At 41.0% G+C, this 25,067-nt stretch overlaps 1 pseudogene across 1 annotated transcript in view; it reads right to left on the reverse strand.

Moving 5' to 3' along the window:
• Nucleotides 1-3,842: 3,842 nt before the first annotated feature.
• Nucleotides 3,843-25,067, reverse strand: part of ZNF252P (zinc finger protein 252, pseudogene) — a 29,311-nt pseudogene continuing 8,086 nt past the window's right edge. Inside the window, exons 4-5 of the transcript NR_023392.1 lie at nucleotides 24,733-24,846; nucleotides 3,843-8,807 (exon numbers count right to left, since the gene is read on the reverse strand). The product of NR_023392.1 is annotated as a zinc finger protein 252, pseudogene (transcript). The remainder of the gene's footprint in view (nucleotides 8,808-24,732; nucleotides 24,847-25,067) is intronic.

The following is a 25,067-nucleotide window of genomic DNA, read 5'->3' on the forward strand; positions in this document are numbered from 1 at the left end:
GGGAGAATCACTGGACCTTGGAGGCAAAATGTTGAGGTCCTGACTTTGGACACATTGTCATCATCTCTAAATATCAGGCCCCTTCTGTGAGAGAGTATGTGGCCTCCCAGCAGGACCTGGTGCTATGACAGTCACCTGGTGAGGTGCAACAGCTCTGTGTAAAGGACACAGCACTGCACATGTTCAGCTTTGCTGTTATGGTCACTGACCTCACAGCTTGAGTATGAATTCCTGGAGCTCTAAGGATCTAATTTTGAAGTAGTCAGTGCCTAAAGAAAGATTCAACTCAGCCTCCAACCAGGACCCTTTGCTCCTACTTTCAACTACTATATGCCACGCTCTTGTTTCCAGCTCACAGAATCACCTGAGAGGCCTCACAGTGATAATGGGCCAACTCTCACTTGAGAAAACTGGTTCATCTCTTCCCTTGTTCCAGATACCCCGTCCTCATTTCCCATGGAATTTCAGGGCCCCAGGGAGCATGGGATTGAGCTGGGAAGGAGAAACTTAGGGAATGAATTGACAGGACATGTTGGTAAGAGGGATGAAAGCAGCATCAGAACCAGGGATGTGGGGTCCCTGTCAGGATACCTGGCTGTCTGTCCTTTCCTGGATGCACAGTTTGCTTCTTGCTCTTACAGGCACCTGCACAAGCTCCAATTTGAGGACAGAAAGGGATATTATGTATTCTAGGTCTGACAAATAACCATGGGGTAGGTTCAGGGACTCTACAACTTCATTACTTGGCTCCATAAGCTCCTACCCTGGAGAACAACAGTAATATATTGGTTCCCAGGTTTTAACATCAATTCAGAGCCAAAGTCCAGTAATCCCTGTCCTAGCCCAATCAGCCTCAGACTACAAGGAATAAACCTGCACTCCAACAAAATCAGAGTTATTGACCCATTACAATGAGGGTGATAACACCCCAGAACCGTGGGGTGTCTCACCAACTAAAGAAAACATAAGTTATTGTAAGAGTTTGGGGAAGGGTGGAGTTTAAGTGAAATTTAAATAAAGCAGTGTTTTAATGGGCATGCAGCAAAGCAGGGTTGCGAGTAATGGGTCATCAGGTCTGGACTGTGAAGTACACCCAGGCTCATTTCCTTGGGAACCACAAAATTAAGATAGGTGTAGAATACGGTGTCCAAAAACTTCTTACATGAATTGGGTTGTAAATTGAGGCTGTTTCTCTATGTCAAAGTGACAGATCTGCCAGGAAAGAGTAGAGTGTTCCATTCTTACTGATATAACTTCTAACATGTTTCTGTTAGTCTATAAGAGAACAAAGTTTCTCAGTAAGAAAGCAGAGGTGAAATTTTATGACATTCTACAGCTCATATATCTCTGGCAGAAATAGTTTCTTATTAACTTTACAGCTGGTTTTATCTGTTATTCCAGTCTGATTAATAGCTTAACAGATTTTTCTTTCTCCATCCAAGATGTTACTTCCTTATCCTTAAAAAAGTGGGTATTCTTGTCCTCTGATATATAGTTACCCTGGTAAATGTCCACATTCCCTTTGGCAAAGGGGATAAGATTTATAGCATAAAATTTGGAAAGTGTAGCAAGACCTTTCAAGGGAAATCTAGCCTCCTCTTGTTTCATGAGGTTCTAGGTCTGAACTGGCTCAAGCCTAGGAAGTAAGTGAAGGTCGATGACTGTTGTGCTGATCCAAGTCAGGTGTCTGTAAAGGCTTAATGACTCACTGATACTGATAAAGACTTTAGTGGGCGGTCTACCTATTTCAGTCCATAGTCACCATCATCATTACTCAGGGTCAAAACCTCTATGGTCAAACCATTCTCATTACTGTTGTGGCCCTGGGCCTGTTACAGTGACAACTTCCCTGTCTATGACAGGGTTACATGCTGCCATCTGGTCCTGACCATTCCCACTGAGTTAAATCCTCTTTTCTTTCTCTTCTTTCTTTCCTTCTCTTTTCTTTCCTTTTTCTTTCCTTCCTCTCTTTCCTTTCCCCTTTCTTCCTTCCTTCCCTTTCCTTTTTCTTTCTTCCTTCTCTCTCTCTCCCCCTCCCTCCCTTCCTCTTTTTTTTTTTTTTTTGAGGGGAGTCTTGCTCTGTCACCCAGGCTGGTGTGCAGTGGCGTGATCTTGGTTGACTACAGCCTCCATCTCCCAGGTTCAAGTGATTCTCCTGCCTCAGCCTCCCGAGTAGCTGGGATTTACATGCACCTGCCACCCTGCCTGGCTAATTTTTGTATTTTTAGTACAGACGGCATTTCACCATGTTGTCCAGGCTGGTTTCAAACTCCTGACTTCAAGTGATCCACCTGCCTTGGCCTCTAAAGTGCTGGGATTACAGATGTGAGCCACTGCGCCCAGCCTAAATCCATTTTCATAACAGTCTCTCCTACTTCCTTTGATAGACTATATAAAACAGCCACTACAGAGTCTTTCCTGGACGTTACTATTCCCTCATCAATGCACTTCTCTAAGCCTGGGTGAAAGGAGTGCCCTCTTGCACCTCCTGAACCTTTGAATCCATTCTCTGTTGTAAAATCAGGCAATTCTGCATGTCAGCCTCACTCAATGGAGGCCATGACCAAATATAGACTTCCATTAACAAGCTGCTACTGCAACTAGCACAGTGAATCCACAGCCTGCCATGTGTGCACTCATATAACAAACCCAGTCCAATCCAACATTACATTATCTCTAGTTGAACAGCCTTAGAATCTGCTCCCTTTCATATCACCCACACTTCTGCCAACAGTAAGCTGGAAAAATCTTCCAATTATTTGGCACTCTCTCTCTCAGGTCACACTTTTCCCTCATTTCCCAGGTCTCCTGGAGTTTCACTACAGGAAGCAATCAAAGTTGGTCGATATTGGGAACAATCCACACTCCCCTGCAAAGTGACAGCTTTAAGAATAATGTGTGTAGCTGCAGGTAATTGATTTTGACGTAGTTTTCTGCTATATTATACTTACAATCAAACTTCTTTTCTCCCCCTCTCCATGAACACTGGACTTGTTTTTTTTTCTTTTTTTTTTTTTGTTGCTATTACAGGAACAGCTGCTATTAAACATTTTGGGACACATCTTCTAGTTCTCATGCAAGTACATCCCCAACATGTATGTGCAGGAGTGGAACTGGGTTGTGGGTTACATAATTTTTTTTTTGAGACGAAGTCTCGCTTTGTCGCCCAGGCTGGAGTGCAGGGGCGCGATCTCAGCTCACTATAACCCCCGCCTCCCAGGTTCAAGCGATTCTCCTGCCTCAGCCTCCTGAGTAGCTGGGATTACAGGCTCCCACCACACCACCTGGCTAATTATTTTAGTAGAGACAGGGTTTTGCCGTGTTGGCCAGGCTGGCCTCAAACTCCTGACCTCAGGTGATCCACCTGCCTTGGCCTCCCAAAGTGCTGGGATTACAGGTGTGAGCCAGTGCATCTGGCCAGGGCTAATTTTTAACTGTATTAATAATGCCAAAATATTTTCCAATGTGTCATACCAATTTCCACTCCTATCAGCCGCGTATGAGAGTAACTGTTGCTAAATATATTTGGTGTCATTCTCTGTCAGATCTTTAATTTTTGCCAACCTAGTGAGGGTAAAATGACATCTTGTAATATCATTTTGCATGTCTGTGATTAATAATGACCTTTGCCCCTCTTTTCATACAGGTTGGTCATGGGAGGGTTTTGGGTGATGAAGAAGCCTTGGCAGGTTTCGTGGCAGAGAAAAATCCAACTAAGTCATGCTGCCTGGAGAGTCAGGGCCTCATAAATTGGGATTAGAGGCAGGAGTTTTAGTCCTAAAGATCTTACAGATTCCCAACCATACAAAGTGCCTCCCACCTTACATGAAAATGGGCAATAATGGAATCCACTGATTACATTTTAATGTTTGTGAATACACATATAAAACACACATTAACCTTAACAATTGGTGGGGAAGATTGGCAGCACAGGACTATGCACAACAAATTAGCAGGCACTAAGGCAGAATATCTTTTACAGCAGAAAGACCAAATCTGTCCCTTTCTGATGCACATCTTCAGTTTTGGGTCATGAGCTAGTGGTGGAGGTCAAGGCCAAGGTCAACCTAAGAAGTCTACAATAGCATGCATCAATGGAAATGCTGCAGAACAAACATGGAGGAAAAAGTAAAAATGCTCTTGTAACCATCAACACCTGCAAATATGCCACTTACTCTTTTTCTCTTGTGAGTGCAGTGAGCATGACTAAACACAGTAGCTCTCTGGGAAGAGCAAGAATAAAGGAGTCTTCAGAATGAGTTGTAAGATATGTATGATGCTTACAAAGTGGAGTTCACAATTGTCCTGTTTAATGTCAGTCTCCTTATTTTAAGAATGCTTCAGGTGACAAAGGCCTGTGTCAGCAGTATGGATCATGATGAGATTCCTGGAAGGCTGAACCTCTGCTGGTACAGGCATAAAACTCCTCCAGAAATGGCTTCTTTTTATTAACTAAAGAAACTGAAAATGCCTTTCTCCTCTCAATTTTAATGTAAGTGGTTAAGAAGCCAGGAGAGGCCGGTGTGGTGGTACACAGCTGTAGTCCCTGCTACTCATGAAGTTGAGGCAGGGGAATCACTTGAGCCCAGGAGTTCAAGGTTACAGTGAGCTATGACTGCACCACTGCACTCCACCCTGTGCAACATGATACAGCATGATACTGTCTCAAAAAAAAATGCTAGGAAGTACCAAGTGTATGATTGCTCTATGCCAATCATCAAATAGAGCAGAGACCATCTAGCTCCCAACCAATATTAATGCCATCACCAAGCCAAGTAATTAGGAAACAGAAATTTGACTTGAATAGAGAACATTAAAAGCCATGATAAATAAAATTCAGTATGATTTGGATGAAATATTTAATGGAAAATAAAAACATATTCCAAACTGATAAGGTTAATCTGGAGAAATGTTTTAGCCATAAAACCCAAAACCGGATTTGAGTAAATACCGAGGTTCTTAGTTAAGTAAACACCTCCATCTTATGTAAACAGGTTTAAAACAAAAAAAATATTATTTTCTGATTTGGTTGTGTAATCGTGGGCCTCAGAGGAAAAGCTTCCTAACCCTTTTGTCATATATATATATATTTTTTGGAGTCTTGCTTTGTGGCCATGCTGGAATGCAGTGGTGCAATCTTGGCTCACTGCTACCTCCGCCTCCTGGGTTCAAGCAATTCTCCTGCCTCAGCCTCCCAAGTAGCTGGGACTACAGGCGTGCACCACCATGCCCAGCTAATTTTTGCATTTTGTAGAAATGTGGTTTCACCATGTTGGCCAGGATGGTCTTGATCTCTTGACCTCGTGATCTGCCCACTTCAGCCTCCCAAAGTGCTGGGATTACAGGTGTGAGACACCGCGCCCAGCCTCCTTTTGTCATCTCTTGATGGAACCTCAAAGAAGAGATCCTTGGGGGAAACTGAATTTCTTTTTGCTTCCTTCTTAAAAGTTCTTCTCTAGAAGAAGTTGTAACTGGGTAACAAGCTCTAAGTCCCTGGATCAGCCTGCAGGCAAGAGAGCTGGGTGAATTGACATTTAAGTTTTGACTTAACTTCAGGAGATTAAGGTTTCCAGCCACCTCAGGAAAAGCCATGAACTCTGTTCTTGCAGTGTAACATAGCTATCTGTGATGGGTAAGTGAAGCCATAAGCCACAGGCTCCCACCCTTGGACATTTTCCTGATTTTTCTTCATGACAACATATCTAGAAGACCCATCTACCAAATCCTGTTTAAGTAAAATGTACAATTTCCCATTTTGAATTAGTTGGATATATTGGGCCAGCTACAAGACTGCAAGCTCCTTGCTGGCAGCGTCTTAACTCTTGGAAACCTGGAGGTGGATTACAGTGTTATCTGACTTTTTAGCAAGGTCTCAACTATTTTAATCTACACAAAGACTCACCTTATTCCTTGACAAACTTTTGCTTATAATCATGTTTCTCTTCCCTGTGAATTGAAGCTTAAGGTATCATATTCCTTATAACAGAATAAAAACGTTTTGAAGAGGCCCAAACAAACAAAGAAAACCCTAGCCTGGTTCCATCACACTTGGAAGTGCAAGGATCTCAACTACTTTCTTTGAAGTTGAAATAAATCATACAAAAAAAAAAAAAAAAAAAAGCAAAGCAAAGCAAAGTAAGTGGTCTCCAGTGAAATACCTAACTGTACCTTAGGGTCTGGTGCCATGAAATGCATCTAAATAATTAAGTTTCACATATCTACAGGGCTCAAGAAGGGGGCTCATCCTCTGAATCTGAAGCAAGGTGTGCTATTGTGGGATTGCTGCTATATACTTCAGCAGCCTGCCTTTAGTTAGCAGCTCACTGGGAGAGTGAAATCCCTTAAGAGCTGAATCTCCAAAAGGAAAACCATAAAGTGACTCATTTCTCACGAGTATGACTCTCATATAATGTATAACTGTGAAGAATTTATAGACTAATCAGTTACTCTCCACTGTGAACTGTACAATGTTGAATGAAAGATGACTGTGCGCTAGAGTTCCCCACACTTACTACATTCATAGACTTGCTCTCTAATGTGAATTGTATGGATTTTCTCATGACTACTAAGAGTTATTCTCTAACTGAAGGTTTTTTCACATCGATTACACGTATGAGGTTGCTCCCCACTGTGAATTCTCTGATGTTGAATAAGGTGAGAGCTTTGTCAGAAGGATTTTCCACATTTGGCACATACATAGGGTTTCTCTCCAGTGTGAATTCTCTTGTGTTGGATAAGGGATAAGCATGCACTGAAGGATTTCTCACACTCATTGCACATGTAGGGTTTCTCTCCAGTGTGAATTCTCTGATGTTGGATAAATTGTGAATGCTGACTGAACGCCTTGCCACAGTCACTACATTCATAAGGTTTCTCACCAGTATGAATTCTGTGATGCTGAATGAGAGAGGAACAAACATTGAAGGCCTTCCCACATTCACTGCACTCATAGGGATTCTCTCCAGTGTGAATTCTTTGATGGTGGATAAGGTGTGCACTCTGGCTGAAGGCCTTCCCACAGTCACTGCACTCATAGGGCTTCTCTCCATTGTGTGTTCTCTCATGCTTAATTAGGGTGGATATCTGCCCAAAGGTTTTCCCACACTCATTACACTCATAGGGTTTCTCACCAATGTGACTCCTCTGATGCTGAATAAGGTGTGACCCCTGGCTAAAGGCCTTCCCACATTTGTGACACTCATAGGGTTTGTCTCCATTATGTATTCTCTGATGTTGAACAAGGGAAGAAAGCAAACTGAAGGCTTTATCACATTCATTACATTCATAGGACTTCTCACCATTGTGTGTTCTTTGATGGTGAATAAGATTAAAACTCTGGCTGAAAGCTTTTCCACACTCACTACATTCATAGGGTTTCTCTCCTGTGTGAATTCACTGATGCTGAATAAGATGTCCCTTTTGACTAAAGGTTTTCCCACACACACTACAACCATAAGGTTTCTCTCCAGTGTGAATTCTCTGATGCTGGATAAGGGATAGACGAGCACCAAATGATTTTCCACACTCATTGCAGATATAAGGTTTCTCTCCAGTGTGAATTCTCTTATGTTGAATAACTTGTGAGCATTGACTAAAGGATTTCCCACATTCATTACACCTATAAGGTTTCTCTCCAGTGTGAATTCTCTGATGGACAGTAAGAGTTCGGTTCAGGCTAAAGGATTTTGCACATTCATTACATTCATAGGGCTTTTCTCCTGTATGAATTCTCTGATGCTGAATGAGAAATAATTGTGTACTGAAGGCTTTGCCACACTCCTTACAGTCATAAGGTTTCTCTCCAGAATGAATTCTCTGATGCTGAATAAGGTTTGATTGTCTGTTGAAGGCTTTCCCACATTCTTTGCACTTGTAAGGTTTCTCTCCACTATGAATTCTCTGATGATGAATTAGATTAGAGCTATGACTAAAGGCTTTCCCACACTGATTACACTCATGATGTTTCTCTCCTGTATGAATTTTTAGATGTTGAACATAAGATGAATGTGTACTAAAAGCTTTCCCACATTTAATACACTCATAGGGTTTTTCTCTAGTGTGAATTTTACAATGCTGAATAAAGTATGAGTGAACACTGAAAGATTTGCCACAATCCTCACATGTGTAGAGTTTCTTACCAGTGTGGATTCTCTGATGTTTACTGAGGATAGAGGGCCAACTGAAAGCTTTTCCACATTCATTGTGCTCATAGGTCTTCTCTCCACTATGAAATCTCTGGTGCTGGTTAAAAGCTCTGTTCTGATTGTAAGTTTTTCCACACCCAGTACTCTCAAACCATCTCTCTGGATTATTCATCCTCTGATTCTCACTAAGAACTGAGCTCTGTCTGGGCACTTTCACTAACACATCTGTCTGATAGGCTCTTTCTCCTAATTGGAAACTCTGGAGGTTAATGAGGTCCTCATGTTGTTGCAAGTTTTCTACACTTGACACACTTGGATGGAGACTCTCCTCTCTAGACCCTCTAAGATGTTTGGCAGGATTTGAGTCTGTAATGCAGTTTTCTCCAACAGCATTGAACTTCTGGCCATTCTCTCTAGAGAGGGTTTTCACATACCTCATGGTAATTTCTCTGAAATTGCTCTTCTGGGAGAATGAGTTCTTAACTCCTTCTACTGCATATTTTCTCCAGCAATTCTCTAACTTTCCCTCAGTTTTACTCATCTCTTCAGTTTCCTTAAAAATATTCCTTACATGATCTTCTGATTTTGCTCTCTGGGATTCCAATTCTTCAGAAATGTCCTGCTTTGGAATCATTTCCTCTTTTTCAATCCTAGAATCACAGCCTGAAAGAATGAAAAAGAAAAAAAAAGTGAATCGCTTGCATTTTACTATGGAAGAAAGAATTAGAGAATAAACAGAAATATTTGTATCAAACAAATATCTTCTAGGATAATACTGATATTCAGAATGCAAATAAAAAAAAAAGCAACAAATATGACCCCATTGGGGAGAGGAAAAAGAGAAGCATGCTGGTAAAGCAATGAACACTGGTGTGGGAAGGAAGAAGGAAGGTAATATGCCCAAGGTCAAAGGCTTAAATCTGCAACCAGGCTGACCTTTCCTGGAGTAGGAAAGGCAAGATCTGAGAAAGGATTTGGGGAGAGTTACCAGGAGGGAGGAATTGGAGGCTGCCTCCACTATTCATGTCATTGCTGCATACTTTGTAAACAAGGTATCTTCTTATGGCTTACACATAGCATACTCAAATATTTGTTGAAAATAAATGATAAATGACTCATAATAAATGAGGTGTACATCAGTGCAATAGATGATGAAAAAAACTATTTGATCTAGACAACTTGGTTTCACAGAAGCAAATCAGGAAAAACAGAAAAAAGCAGCAACCTACTCAGGAAATAGCTTGGGCAGCACAAGGCAAAAAGGCCAAGTATAAACAACAGTCCCAAATCACACATTTCCAGTGAACAAAAGTGTCCAAAAATTTGTGAAAACTATAAAACTGAATTCTGAGACCCAATGAAAGGAAGCTTATTAAAAAGAAAAATCCAAAACCAACCAACAAAACAAATAAACAAACAAAAAACAAGCACTAAGTCACATAGATACAAAGACTGTGGGAAGGATAACTGAGGTCAGAACAGTAAGAGGGCAGCCCTGTGTTGAGATACCACAAAAGGACAATGGAATCTTCTTTTTGCAAATGGCGGTTATCATTAGTTATAATGGGATGCTCCTTGAGACTGCACTGCTTGAACAGGGAGACTGAGCTAAAAATACTAACTGGATGAGGCCTAAAATTGAGTTAAGTATGGCTGGGTGTGGTGGATCACGCTTGTAATCCCAGCACTTTGGGAGGCCAAACCGGGTGGATCACCTGAGGTCAGGAGTTTTAGACCAGCATGGCCAACATGGCAAAACCACATCTCTACTAAAAATACAAAATTTAGCTGGGCATGGTGGCGGGTGCTTCTAATCCCAGCTACTTGGGAGGCTGAGGCAGGAGAATAGCTTGAACTCAGGAGGTGGGGGTTGCAGTAAGTCAAGATTGTGCCACTGCAGTCCAGCCTGGGTGACAGAGCAAGACTCTGTCTCAAAAAATAAAATAAAATAAAATAAAATAATAAAATAAAATAAAATAAAACAAAAAGCTAAGTAATCGCAATAGATTTCTGTGAACTACTCATGGTACTACAGAGGGATTGATTTTGCCATTCAGAGTATGAAAGGAAAAAAGCAAACTTCATAATTTACTCTAGAAACCTACAAACAGTGTCCTAGAAGATAAACATCCTGAATGTAGGGAGAAAAATTTCTGAGGTATCTGAGGAGTTGAGTCCTCAAGGTAGTCTCAGGACTAAAGTCTGACAGATGATTCTATTAGGTGTTATTTTGCTGGGAGGAGACAAAATAAATGTGAACAAAATGAGAAACCATAAGAGAGAGTCATCCATAAGACAAGAACCAACATCTCACACTAAAGTTCATATTGCCATTTCCCTCAGATATCTGGTGATCCTTGGTTGGCGGTGTTTAATTTCTTTCTTTCTTTCTTTTTTTTTTTTTTTGAGACAGAGTTTTTTTGCTCCTGTTGCCCAGGCTGGAGTGCAATGGCACAATCTTGGCTCACCACAACCTCTGCCTCCTGGGTTCAAGTGATCCTCCTGCCTCAGCCTCCTGAGTAGCTGGGATTACAGGCACATGCCACCATGCCCAGCTAATTTTTGTATTTTTAGTAGAGACAGGATTTCACCATGTTGGCCAGGATGGTCTTGATCTCTTGACCTCATGATCTGCCCACCTTGGCCTCCCAAAGTGTTGGGATTACAGGTGTGAGCCACCGTACCCAGCCAATATCAGAATCTTGAAGATAGGTTTGCACTCCCATGTTCACTGCAGCATTATTCACAATAGCCAAGAGGTGGAAACAACCTAGATGTCCATCAACAGATGGATGTATAAAGAAAATCTGGTATATCCATATGATGAAATATTCAGCCATAAAATATTGTAGAAGAAAATCCTGTCCTATGCAACTACACAAATGAACTCTGAGGACATTATGCTAAGTGAAATAAGACATCATAGAAGGATGAATACTGCACAGTTCCACTTAAATGAAGTATCTAAAATAGTCAAACTGATAGAAACAAAAAGTGCAATCGTGGTTGCCAGGGGTTGGTTGCCAGGGGTTGGGGAGAGGGAGAAATGGGGAGTTGCTATTCAGTGGGTACAGGGTTTCAGTCATGCAAGGTTTTGAGAAAGTTCCAGAGACCTGCTCTACAGCATTTTGCTATTGTATTGTATACTTAAAAGTGTTTAAGAATGTAGACTGATCCTCATGTTATATAATTTTACCACAATTTAAGAAATACTTTAATAATGGTGGGAAACTTCTGATATTTCCTGGAAAACATTAAACTGCACATCCAAGAGGCCCAAAGAACTCCAAATGGGATAAACACAAAGATACCAACACTCAGAAACATCATGGTAAAAACGTTAAATGTTAATGACAAGGAGAAAATCTTGAAAGCAAGAGAAAAACAACTTATCATGTACAAGGGTGCCCCAATAAGATAAACAGCAGACTTCTTATCAGAACTAATGGAGGTCAGAAGACAGTGGATAACATATTCAAAGTTCTGAAAGAAAAAGACTCTCAACCAAGAATTTTCTATCCTGGCCAAGTATGTTGGCTCACACCTATAATCCCAGCAATTCAGGAGGCCAAAGTGGATGGATCACCTGAGATCAGGAGTTCGAGACCAGCCTGGCAAACATGGTGAAACCCCACCTCTATTAAAAAAAAAAGCTGGGTATGGTGGTGCATGCCTATAATCCCAGCTACTCAGGAGGCTGAGGCAGGAGAATCACTTGAACCCAGGAGGTGGAGGCTGCAGTGAGCTGAGATCATGCCACTGTACTCCAGCCTGGGCAACAGAGTGAGACTGTCTCTAAAAAAGAAGAAGAAGAAAAAAGAAGTTTCTATCCAGCAAATTATCTTTCAAAAGTGAAGATGAAATAAAAGCATTACCAGATAAATATAAACATAATTTATTGCTGCTAGATGCACCTTAAAAAAAAACCAAAGAAAATTCTTCAGGTTGGAAGCAAGTAAACACAGATAGAAATGAGAACCCACCCAAAACACAAAGAATAAAGATGAAGGTAATTCTTTAATTATATGAAAGTATAAATATATGTTTTTCATCTCTCTTAATTAATTTAAAAAGCAATTTTATAAATCGAATTTATATAGTTATATTGTTTAGGCTTTAAGATGTAAAAATGTATTATATATGACAACAGCACAAAGGAGGTGGATGAGAACAGAGTTGTACTGTACAAAGGAAATGACAGCAGATGGTAACCTGAATGTACAGGAACATATGAAAAAAACCATAAATGGTAAATAAGAAAGTAAACATTAAAAACTTTACCAATATATACTTGCTCTTATTTCTTTTCTGTTTCCACAATTGACATAAAATTATATAAAGTAAAAATTATAAAAATGTATTGGTGGGTTTATAACAAACATATAATTGTAAAACAATAGTATATAAAGGAAGAAGATTAAATAGAGCTATATATGAGTAACAATTCTATATCTCATTGAATTTTGTTAGTATAAGTTAGAAGCAAATTCTGATAAAATGTATGTGGTAAGCTCTAGAGTAGTAATTAAGAGAATAACTTTCAAAAAGTGAAAATATCAGTTAAGAAATTAAAATGTTATAATAGAAAAATTGTACTCAATGCAGCTGGGCATGGTGGTTCACATCTATAATCCCAGTCACTTGGGAGGCTGAGGCAGGAAGATCACTTGAGGCCAGGAGTTTGAGACCAGCCTAGGCCACATAAAAGCAAGACCCAGTTTCTAAAAATAAAATTGAAAAAAAAAAGCAAAACAAAACAAAAAAACACACACTTAGCCAGGCATGGTGGCACACACCTGTAGTCCCAGCTACTGGAGGCTGAGGAAGAAGGATCCCTTCAGCCCAGGAGTTCAAGGCTACAGTGAGCCATGATCAGGCCACTGCACTCCAGCCTGGGAAACAGGGCAAGACCTGATTCTAAAAATAAAAATAAAATAAAATCTACTCAATGCAAAAGAAAAAAATTAAGGAGGAATGGTAGAACAGAAAAGACACAAGATATACGAAATACAAAGAGCACAATGGCAGATGTAAACACAACTACACAAAAAATAATAAATATGACTAAACAATTCAAAGAAAAGGCAGAAAGAAAAAAAGGAAAAAAAGGCAGAGTCACAGTGGATTAAAAAACAATATCCAACTATATGCTGTCTATTGGAAATACACTTTAGATTCAAAGATATAAACAGATTGGAAGTAAAAGAATGGAAAAAGATACACAGATGCTTCTCAACTTACAATGGGGTTATGTCCTGAAAAACCCATTGTATGTTGAAAATATAGAAGTTGATATGGTTTGGATCTATGTCCCCACCCAAATCTCATGCTGAAATGCAATCCCCAATGCTGGAGGTAGGGCCTGATAGGAAGTGATTGGATCATGGGGGCGCGGTTTCTCATGAATGGCTTAGCACCATCCCCCTGGTGCTGTTCTTGTGATAGAGTTCTTGTGAGATCTGGTTGTTTAAAAGGGTGTGGCACCTCCTCCCTGTATCTCTTCCTCCTGCTCCAGCCATGTAAGATGTGCCTGCTTCCCCTTCACCTGCTGCTATGATTGTAAGTTTCCTGAAGCCTCCCTAGAAGCAGAAGCTGGTATGCTTCCCATACAGCCTGCAGAACTGTGAGCCAATTAAACCTCTTTTCCTTACAAATTACCCAGTATTAGGTATTTCTTTATAGTAGTGTGAGAATGGACTAATAAGTCAAAAATGCATTTAATACATCTAACCTATCAAACATAGCTTAGTCTAGCCTACCTTAAACATGCTCAGAACACTTACATTAGCCTACAATTGGGCAAAATAATCTAATACAAAGCCTATTTTATAGTAAAGTGTTGAATATCATGCAATTTATTGACCACTGTACTGAAAGTGAAAAACAGAATGATTTTCACCATTGTGAAGTTGAAAAATCATAAATCAAATAAGATACCCTGTGTTATGCAAATAGGAACCATAAGAAAGCTGGAGTGGTTATAATAATGACAAAATAGACTTTAAAATGTAACATGCTATCAGAGATAAAGATAGACATTTTATAATGATAAAAAGTCAACTCATAAGTTTTAACACTTGTAAACATATACACAGCTAACGACAGAGCTTCAAAGTATGTGCAATGAAAGGTTGAAAGAATTGGGGGGAAATACATAGTTCAACAGCAGTTGTCAGAGACTTCAAACCCCACTTTCAATTTGGATAGAACATCTAACCAGAAAATCAACAAGGAAATACAGTTGGCCCTCTGTATCTAGGTGATATAGTTTGGCTCTGTGTCCCCACCCAAATATCTTCCCAAATTGTAATCCCAACATGTTGAGGGAGGGACCTGGTGGGAGGTGATTGGATCATGGGCGTGGTTTCGCCCATGCTGTTCTCATAATAGTGAGTTCTCACAAGACCTGATGGTTTAAAAGTGCTTGGCAGTCGACCCTCCCCCTCCAAATGCTGCTGCTATGTAAGACGTGCCTTGCTTCCCCTTCACTTTCTTCCATGATTGTAAGTTTCCTGAGGCCTCCCCAGCTATGTGGAACTGTGAGTCAATTAAACCTCTTTCCTTTATAAATTGCCAGGTCTCAGGTAGTTCTTCATAGCAGTGTGAAAACAGACTAATACACTAGGGATGCTGCATCAATGGATTCAAGTGACCACAGATACAAAAAAAAATTGGAAATTAAAAAGCATGGTGGCATCTGTACTGAACATATACAGATTTGTCATTATTCCCTAGACAGTACAGTATAACAACTATTTACATAGCATTTACATTGTATTAAAGTATATAGGAGGGGGATGTACATAGGTTATATGAAAATATTACACCATTTTATATAAGGGACTTGTGGAGTTCGGTATTTGAAGGGGTTCCTGGAACCAATCCCCCATGGATACTGAGTGACAAGAGTAGAAGATTAAGAACACTGTATACAAACTAGACTTAACAAACATTAAGTTGTTAGAGAATACTCCACCCAACAACAGCAGAATACACATTTTTCTCAAGCACACGTGGAATATTTTCCAGGATAGATCATAGGCTAGGCCATAAAACAAGCCTGGATCAGTTTAAAAAGACTGAAATTGTACAAGTTTCCTTGTCACTATGTTTTCTAAACATAATGGAATGAAACTGAAACTAATAACAGAAAATAATTTGCTAAATTCACAAAAATGTAAAAATTAAGCAACACAGTACTAAAGAACCAATGGGTCAAACAAGAAATACCAAGTAAAATTAGAAAATACTTTGAGATGAATGAAAAGGAAGACACAACATATCAAAACCTGTGGGATGCAGCTAAATCTGTGCTTAGAAGGAAATTTGTAGCTGTCAATACCAACATTATTTAAAGTTAAAAAAAAATTTTTTTTAATTTTTTAGAAATTTTACTTTAAGTTCTGGGATACATGTGCAGAACCTGCAGGTTTGTTGCATAGGTATACATGTGCCATGGTAATCTACCTATCAACCTGTCATCTAGTTTTTTGGCCCATATGCATTAGGTATTTGTTCTAATGCTTTCCCTCCCCTTGTCCCTCTCCCCTTGACAGGCCCCGGTGTGTGATGTTCCCCTCCCTGTGTTGATGTGTTCTCACTGTTCAACTCCCACTTATGAGTGAGAACATAAGGTTTTTGGTTTTCTGTTCCTGTGTTAGTTTGCTGAGGATGATGGCTTCCAGCTTTATCCATGTCCCTGTAAAGGACATGAACTCATTCTTTTTTATGGCTGTGTAGTATTCCATGGTGTATATATGCCACATTTTTTTTTATCCAGTCTATCCGTGATGGGCATTTTGGTTGGTTCCAAGTCTTTGCTATTGTAAATAATGCTGCAAGAAACGTATGTGTGCATTTATCTTTATAGTAGAATGCTTTACAGTCCTTTGGTTATATACCCAGTAATGGGATTGCTGGGTCAACTGGTATTTCTGGTTCTAGATCCTTGAGGAATCACCACACTGTCTTCCACAATGATTGAACTTGTTCACACTCTCACCAACAGTGTAAAAGCATTCCTATTTCTCCATGGCCTCACCAGCATCTGTTGTTTCCTGACTTTTTTTTTTTTTTTTTGAGATGGAGTCTTGCTGTGTCACCCAGGCTGGAGTCCAGTGGCACAATCTTGGCTCATGCCTGGCTAATTTTTTTGTATTTTTAGTAGAGAAGGGGTTTCACTGTGTTAGCCAGGATGGTCTCAATCTCCTGACCTCGTGATCTGCCTGCCTAGGCCTCCCAAAGTGCTGGGATTACAAGTGTCAGCCACTGCACCTGGCTGACAATGGGGTTTTCTAAATACGCAATCATGTAATCTATAAATAGACACAATTTGACTGCCTCTCTTCCTATTTGAATACTCTTTATTTCTTTCTCTTGCCTGATTGCCCTGGCCAGAACTTCCAATACTATGTTGAATAGGAGTGGTGAGAGAGGGTATCCTTGCCTTGTGCCAGTTTTCAAAGGGATTGTTCCCAGCTTCTGCCTATTCAGTAAGATATTGGCTATGGGTTTGTCATAAATAGCTATTATATGTTCCATCAATACCTAGCTGATTGAGAGTTTTTAACATGAAGCGGTTGAGTTTTATCGAAGGCCTTTTCTGCATCTATTGAGATAATCATGTGGTTTTTGTCATAGGTTCTGTTTATGTGATGGATTACATTTATTGATTTGCATATGATGAACCAGCCTTGCATCCTAGGGATGATGACTTGATCGTGATGAATAAGCTTTTTGATATGCTGCTGGATTCAGTTTGCCGGTATTTTATTGAGCATTTTTGCATCGATGTTCATCAGGGATATTGACCTGAAATTTTCTTTTTTTTTTGATGTGTCTCTGTCAGGTTTTGTATCAGGATGATGCTGGCCTCATAAAATGAGTTAGGGAGGAGTCCCTCTTTTTCTATTGTTTGGAATAGTTTCAGAAGGAATGGTACCAACTCCTTTTTATACCTCTGGTAGAATTTGGCTGTAAATCCATCTGGCCCTGGGCTTTTTTTTGGTTGGTAGGCTATGAATTACTGCCTCAATTTCAGAACTTGTTATTGGTCTATTCAGGGGTTTGACATCTTCCTGGTTTAGTCTTCTAGAAGACTAAACTAAATTTATCCATTTCTTCTAGATTTTCTAATTTGAGTAGAGGTGTTTATAGTATTCTCCAATCATAGTTTGTATTTCTGGGGGATCAGTGGTAATATCCCCTTTATCATTATTTATTGTGTCTATTTGATGCTTCTCTCTTTTCTTGATTAGTCTAGCTAGCGGTCTATCTATTTTGTTAATTTTTTCAAAAAACCACCTCCTGGATTCATTGATTTTTGAAGGGTTTTTCCTTTCTGTATCTCCTTCGGTTTTTCTCTGATCTTAGTTATTTCTTGTCTTCTGCTAGCTTTTGAATTTGTTTGCCCTTGCTTCTCTAGTTAATTGTGATGTTAGGGTGCCGATTTCAGATCTTTCCAGCTTTCTGATGTGGGCATTTAGTGCTATAAATTTCCCTCTTAACACAGATTTAGCTGTGTCCCAGAAAGTCTGGTACATTGTCTCTTCATTCTCATTGGCTTCAACGAACTTATTTCATTCTTAATTTCATTATTTACCCAAGAGTCATTCAGGAGTAGGCTGTTCAATTTCCATGTAGTTGTGTGGTTTTGAGTGAGTTTCTTAATCCTGAGTTCTAATTTGATTGCACTGTGGTCTGAGAGACCGTTATGAATTCTGTTCTTTTGCATTTGCAGAGGAGTGTCTTACTTCCAATTATGTGGTTGATTTTAGAATAAGTGCCATGTGGCACTGACAAGAATGAGAAGAATTCAAGTCCTGAATATCTTTAATTTTAAAGGATGCTGGCTGGGTGTGGTGGATCACACCTGTAATCCTAGCACTTTGGGAGGCCAAGGTGGGCAGATCATGAGGTCAGGAGATCAACACCATCCTGGCTAACACGGTGAAACCCCTTCTCTACTAAAAATACAAATAAATTAGCTGGGCATGGTGGCATGCACCTGTAGTCCCAGCTTCTCAGGAGGCTGAGGCAGGAGAATGGCATGAACCCAGAAGGCAGAGCTTGCAGTGAGCCGAGATTGCACCACTGCACTCCAGCCAGGTTGACAGAGTGAGACTCTGTCTCAAAAAAATAATAATAAATTAAAAAAATAAATAAATAAAGGATGCTAATTTTCTGTCTTGTTAATCTAATATTGACTGTGGGGTGTTAAAGTCTCACACTATTATTGTGTGGAAGTCTAAATCTCTTTGTAGGTCTCTAAGAACTTGCTTTATGAATCTGGGTGCTCTTGTATTGGGTGCATATATATTTAGGATAGTTAGCTCCTCTTGTTGCATTGATCCTTTTACTATTATGTAATGCCCTTCTTTGTCTTTTTTGATCTTCATTGGCTTAAAGTCTGTTTTATCAGAATAGTACTGCAACCCCTGCTTTTTTTGTTTTTGTTTTTGTTTTTGCTTTCCATTTGCTTGGTAAATATTCCTCCATTCCTTTATTTTGAGCCTATGTGTGTCTTTGCATGTGAGATGGATCTCCTGAATACAGCACATGGATGGGTCTTGACTCTTTATCCAATTGGCCAGTCTGCATCTTTTAATTGGGGCATTTAGCCCATTTATGTTTAAGATTAATATTTTTATGTGTGAATTTGATCCCGGCATCATGATGCTAGCTGGTTATTTTGCACATTAGTTGATGCAGTTTCTTCACAGTGTCATTGGTCTCTATATTTTGGTGTGTTTTTGCAGCGGCTGGTACCAGTTTTTCCTTTCCATATTTAGTGCTTCCTTCAGGAGCTCTTGTAAGGCAGGCCTGCTGGTGACAAAATCCCTCATCATTTGCTTGTCTGGAAAGGGTTTTATTTCTCTTTTGCTTGTGAAACTTAGTTTGGCTGGATATGAAATTTTGGGTTGAAAATTCTTCTTTTTTTTTTTTTTTTTTTTTTGAGATGGAATTTTGCTCTTATTGCCCAGCCTGGAGTGCAATGGTGCAATCTCAGCTCACTGCAACCTGTGCCTCCCAGGCATGTGCCACCATGTGGCTAATTTTTGTATTTTTGTATTTTTAAGTAGAGACAGGGTTTCTCCATGCTGGTCAGGCTGGTCTCGAACTCCTGACCTCAGGTAATCCGCTCACCTCAGCCTCCCAAAGTGCTGGGATTACAGGTGTGAGCCACTGCGCCCAGCCCAGTTCTTTTAAGAATGTTGAATATTGGCCCCCATTCTCGTCTGGCTTATAGGGTTTCTGCAGAGAGATCACCTGTTAGTCTAATGGGTTTACCTTTGTAGGTGACCTGATCTTTCTCTCTGGCTGCCCTTAGCATTTTTTCCTTCATTTCAATATTGGAGAGTCTGATGATTATGTATCTTGGGTTTGATCTTCTTGTGGAGTATCTTAGTGGTGTTCTGTGTATTTCCTGAATTTGAATGTTGGCATATCTTGCTAGGTTGGGGAAGCTCTCCTGGATAATATCCTGAAGTGTGTTTTCCAACTTGGTTCCATTTTCCCCATTGCTTTCAGATACACCAATCAATCGTAGGTTTGGTCTTTTCACATAGACCCATATTTCTTGGAGGCTTTGTTTGTTCCTTTTAATTCTTTTCTCTGTAATCTTGTTTTCATGCCTTATTTCAGCAAGGTGATCTTCAATCTCTACTATCCTTCTTCCACTTGATCAGTTCGGCTATTGATACTTGTATATGCTTCAGGAAGTTCTTGTGCTGTGCTTTTCAGCTCCATCAGGTCATTTATGTTCCTCTCTAAACTGGTTATTCTAGTTAGCAGTTCCTGTAACCTTTTACCAAGTTTCTTAGCTTCCTTGCATTGGGTTACAACATGGTTTTTTTTTTAGCTCAGAGGAGTTTGTTATTACCCACCTTCTGAAGCCTACTTCTGTCAATTCATCAGTCTCATTCTCCATCCAGTTTGGTGCCCTTGCTGGAGAAGAGTTGTGATCATTTGGAAGAGAAGAGACATTCCGGTTTTTGGAATTTTCAGTGTTTTTGCACTGTTTTTTCCTCATCTTCGTGGATTTATTTACCTTTGATCTTTGAGGCTGATGACCTTTGGATGGAGTTTGTGTGTGTGTGTGGGGTCTTTTATGTTGATGTTGTTATTGTTGCTTTGTGTTTGTTAGTTTTTCTTCTAACAGTCAGACGCCTCTTCTGCCAGTCTGCTGCCGTTTGATGGAGGTCCACTCCAGACCCTGTTGACTTGGTTATCACCAGTGGAGGCTGCAGAACAGCAAAGATTGCCACCTGCTCCTTCCTCTAGAAGCTTTATCCCAGAGTGGCACTGACCTGATGCCATCTGGAGCTCTCCTGTGTGAGGTGTCTCTTGAGCCGTTAAGAGGTGTCTCCCAGTCAGGAGGCATGGGGTTCAGGGACCCACCTGGGGAGGCAGTCTGTCCCTCAGCAGAACTGGTGTGCTGTGCTAGGAGAATCCCCTTTGTCAGGATCAGCTCCTCTCTTCACAGCCAGGCAGGAAAGATTAAGTCTGCTGAAGCTGCGCCCACAGCTGCCCCTCCCTCCAGGGGCTCTGTCCCAGGGAGGTGAGAGTTTTATCTGTAAGCTCCTGACTGGGGCTGCTGCATTTCCTTTAGAGATGCCCTGCCCAGTGAGGAGAAATCGAGAGAAGCAGTTTGGCCATAGCTGCTTTGCCGCACTGTGGTGTTCCGCCCAGTCCAAACCTCCTGGTCTCCTTAGCACCGTCAGGGGAAAACCGCCTACTAAAGCCTCAGTAATGTCAGAAGATGCTCCTTCCCCCTCCAAGCTCGAACATCCCAGGTTGACTCCAGACTACTGTGCTGGCAGTGAGAATTTCAAGCCAGTGGTTCTTAGCTTGCTGGGATCCATGGGAGTGGGACTCGCTGATTGAGACCACTTGGCTCCCTGGCTTCAGCCCCCTTTCCAGGGGAGTGAATAGTTCTGTCTCACTGGGATTCCAGGTGCCACCAGGGTATGAAAAAAACTCCTGCACCTAGCTCGATGCCTGCCTAAACAGCCGCCCAGTTTTGTGCTTGAAACCCAGGACCCTGGTGGTGTAGGCTCATGAGGGAATCTCCTGATCTGCAGATTGTAAAAACCATGGGAAAAGTGTAGTACCTAGGCTGGGTAGCACAGTCCCTCATGGCTTCCCTTAGCTGGGGCAGGGAGGTCCCCCGGCTCCTTGCACTTCCTGGGTGAAGCGATGTTCCTCCCTGCTTCTGCTCCCTCTCCATGGGTTGCACCCACTACCTAACCAGTCCCAATGAGATGAACTGGGTACCTCAGTTGGAAATGCAGAAATCACCCATCTTCTGTGTTGGTCTCAATGGGAGCTGCAGACTGGAGCTGTTTGTATTTGGCCATCTTGGCTCCTTCCTCAATGCCTACTTTTTTTTTTTTTTAAAGGGAGCAAATCAACAACCTAATCTTCTACCTTAAAACACTGGAGAAAACAAACAAACAAACAAAAAAACTAAACCCAAATCAAGCAGAAGGTAGAAAATAAGGAATATAACAGAAACTAATGAACTAGAGAATAGAAAAAAGGCTTAATACCAATTCTTCACAAACTCTTCCAAAAAAACAAAAGAGAACACTTCCCAATTCATTCAATGAAAACATATATAAAAATTATACACCATTACTGAGTGGGATTTATCCCAGAAATGCAAGGTTTGTTTAGCATCCTAAAATCAATTAATACATCATATCCAAAGAATAAAGGAAAAAATCAAGAAAGGAAAATAAAGACATTTTCAGACAAACAAAAACTCACAGAATAATGCTAACTTAAGTACAAGAAATACTAAAGGGAATTTTTCAAACTGAAAATAATGATCTTAGACAAAAGTACAGAACTGCAGAAAGGAATGAAAAACACTAGAAAGGGTAACTCTAAATGTAATGTATATATACCGTCAAAAATAGCAACAGAATAAACTCTCTGGTGAGGTTTCAAAGTAGGTAGTACAAAATAAGTGACTATAATAATGAAAGGCAGGAGAGGGACAAAAGCAAACGTAAGGATCTTGCATTTTTCAAGAAGTGGTAAAAATATTAAGGTAGACCATAGTAAGTTGAAGAGACATATTTAATCATTAGAGTCATCACTTAAAAAAGAATGTACAACTAAAAAGCTAATGGAGAAGAAAAATAAAATTACATAAAGTTTGATTTATTCAAAAGAATATAAAAGGCCTGGTGCGGTGCTTCATGCCTGCAATCCCAGCACTTCAGGAGGTCGAGGCGGGCGGATCACGAGGTCAGGAGATAGAGACCATCCTGGCTAACACGGTGAAACCCCGTCTCTATTAAAAATACAAAAAAGCCAGGCGTGGTCGTGGGTGCCTGTAGTCCCAGCTACACAGGAGACTGAGGCAGGAGAATGGCCTTAACCCGGGAGGCGGAGCTTGCAGTGAGCCGAGATCGTGCCACCGCACTCCAGCCTGGGTGACAGGGCGAGACGCCGTCTCAAAAAAAAAAAAAAAATATATATATATATATATATATATATATATATATACATATATATATAATTTATAGTGACAGAAAGGAGATCAGTAATTGCTTCAGTATAGAAGTGGGAAGGAGTGAGAAAGGTGGGAAGGAGTGAAAGATGATGAAGGAGGAGAAAACTTTTGGGGGTGATGGATATGTCTGCCCTAGATTGTAGCAATGGTTTCACATGTGTATACATATGTCAAAAGATATAAAATCATATACTTTAAATACTTATTAACATATTATATGTTAATTACACCTCAATAAGGCTGGTTCTTTAAAGAAAATAAATAAGAGTATGGGGCTGAGACCAATCTGCCAGGGACCCAACGTTGCTCTCTCCCTGGCTGGCTGTGTGATCTGGGGCCAATAATTTAACCTCTCTGTGCCTCAGTTTCCTGGACACTGATTGTGCAGAGATATTGGTGAATTCCATAAATTCATTGTGACAGCACAGTGCCAGGCCTGCATCAAGCGCAAATGACCAATGTTAGCTGTGTGGTAGCACGGAGCCCTAGGACTCTGCTCTGCTTACTGTTTACATGCCCAGGTCCCCCACTACACAGGAAGAAACCCTTTCTAGCTCATCTGTTTCCTTAAGACCGAGAATCAGCCTGGGATGCTCTGAGTGAGTAACAGCAGGAATGAGAGACTTAGAAGAGAACGTCTCTCTAATTGGTATTTCCCAGCAGCCAAAACAGAGCTGGCCAGCAAACCCTGTGGGATAGTGTGAAATACATATTTGGTCTTCATCCCCATAACCTGGCATACAACTCCTAAAATCCTTGTAATCTCCAAAGTGCTGCCTTTTCATAGACTTATGTTGACTGACAGCTTTAGGATGAAGCTGGTCACTGGAAAGGCCAAGGCACGATTACAGGGTTGGGATTCTCAGCTCCAATGCCCCAAACTCAAGAGAGGGGAAAGGAGCTAAAGGTTAAGTTTATCACCAATGGCCAATGGTTTAATCAATCATACCTACATAATAAAGCCTCTATACAAACCTAAGAGGGCAGGGTTCAGAGAGCTGCTGGATAGCTAAGTGGACAGGATCCTAGAGGGTGATGCACCCAGGAAGGGCATGAAAACTCTGCACCCCTTCCCCCATACCTCAGCTTACACATTTCTTCATCTTTATCCTTTATAATAAATTGGTAAATCTTTCTTTTTCTTTTCTGAGACAGGGTCTCACTCTGCCACCCAGGCTGGAGTGCAGTGGCATGATCTCAGCTCACTGCAACCTCTGCCTCCTGGGTTCAAGTGATTCTCATGCCTCATCCTCCCAAGTAACTGAGACTACAGATGCACACCACCATGCCTGGCTAATTTTTGTATCTTTTGTAGAGACGGGGTTTCACTATATTGGCCACGTTGGTCTCGAACTCCTGACCTCAAGTGATCTGCCCACCTCGGCCTCCCAAATTGCTGGGATTACAGGCATGAGCCACTGCGCCCAGCCTAAACTTGTAAATCTAAGTGTTTCCCTGAGTTCTGTGAGATGCTCCAGCAAATTAATAGAACCCAAAGTGAGGGTCATGGGAACCCCAACTTGAATCCTTTTGGTCTCAAGTTTGGAAACCCCGAACTTACAACTAGTGCCTTGAGTGGACAGTCTCAGAGACTGAGCCCTCAGCCTGTGGGATCTGAGGCTATCTCCAAGAGAGCACCAGAATTGAATTGAATTAGAGCTGCTTGGAACATGGGAAAAACCCTCCATACATTTGGTCACGAAGTCTTTGTTGATTGTTGTTGTGGTGTCAGAGCAGAGGAAAAATGTAATTAGCATTTTTCCCAAACAGCCTAAGGAGTGGATGACATAGAAGTGAAGGGACTGGGAGCCAGCTGCCTGGGAAGGACACTTGAACTATTTTTTGTGGCTGAAATAGCATTTTTCTAGGGTAAATAAAACACAAACCTACTTATGGGCAGATAACAGGGGCAAATAACAGCAAGGAAAGAGGACAAGATAGAAAAAGGAGGAGGAAAGCAAAGGCCTGAGGGTAACAAGAGATTTGTCTGGGGCTTGTAGAGAAGGGATTCGTGAGTGAAGCTGCAGCACCTACCACAGAAGCAGAGAGTGGGGGCAGACTCACCTTCTCTCTTGTGCCTCCAGCTCCAGCTCCCCTGAGTTCTCAGGATGTGAGGGGTCTATGGTTCGTCCCCCCGCTCCAGCCTGGAGATGACATCAGGTTTGGAAGCTTGAAGTCCTGCTCCAGAGAAAGGAAGCAAGACCTGAAAAGTCATCCCAGGTAGAGGGCAGGATGGACCTGTGGTCTGAGTCTTTGTGCTGGTTGTGTCCTTCCCTGCCACCTGGTCTCTAACCGTGGAGAAAGACACAGGCCTCTGCCTAAGCTGAGGAAAGGTCAAAACTAGCTTTTCAGGAGGACGGGGAGCATAGATAGGACAGTGTTGGGGCCTGAACACATCA

Source organism: Homo sapiens, chromosome 8, assembly GCF_000001405.40.
Source record: "Homo sapiens chromosome 8, GRCh38.p14 Primary Assembly".
NCBI classification, from domain to species: domain Eukaryota; kingdom Metazoa; phylum Chordata; class Mammalia; order Primates; family Hominidae; genus Homo; species Homo sapiens.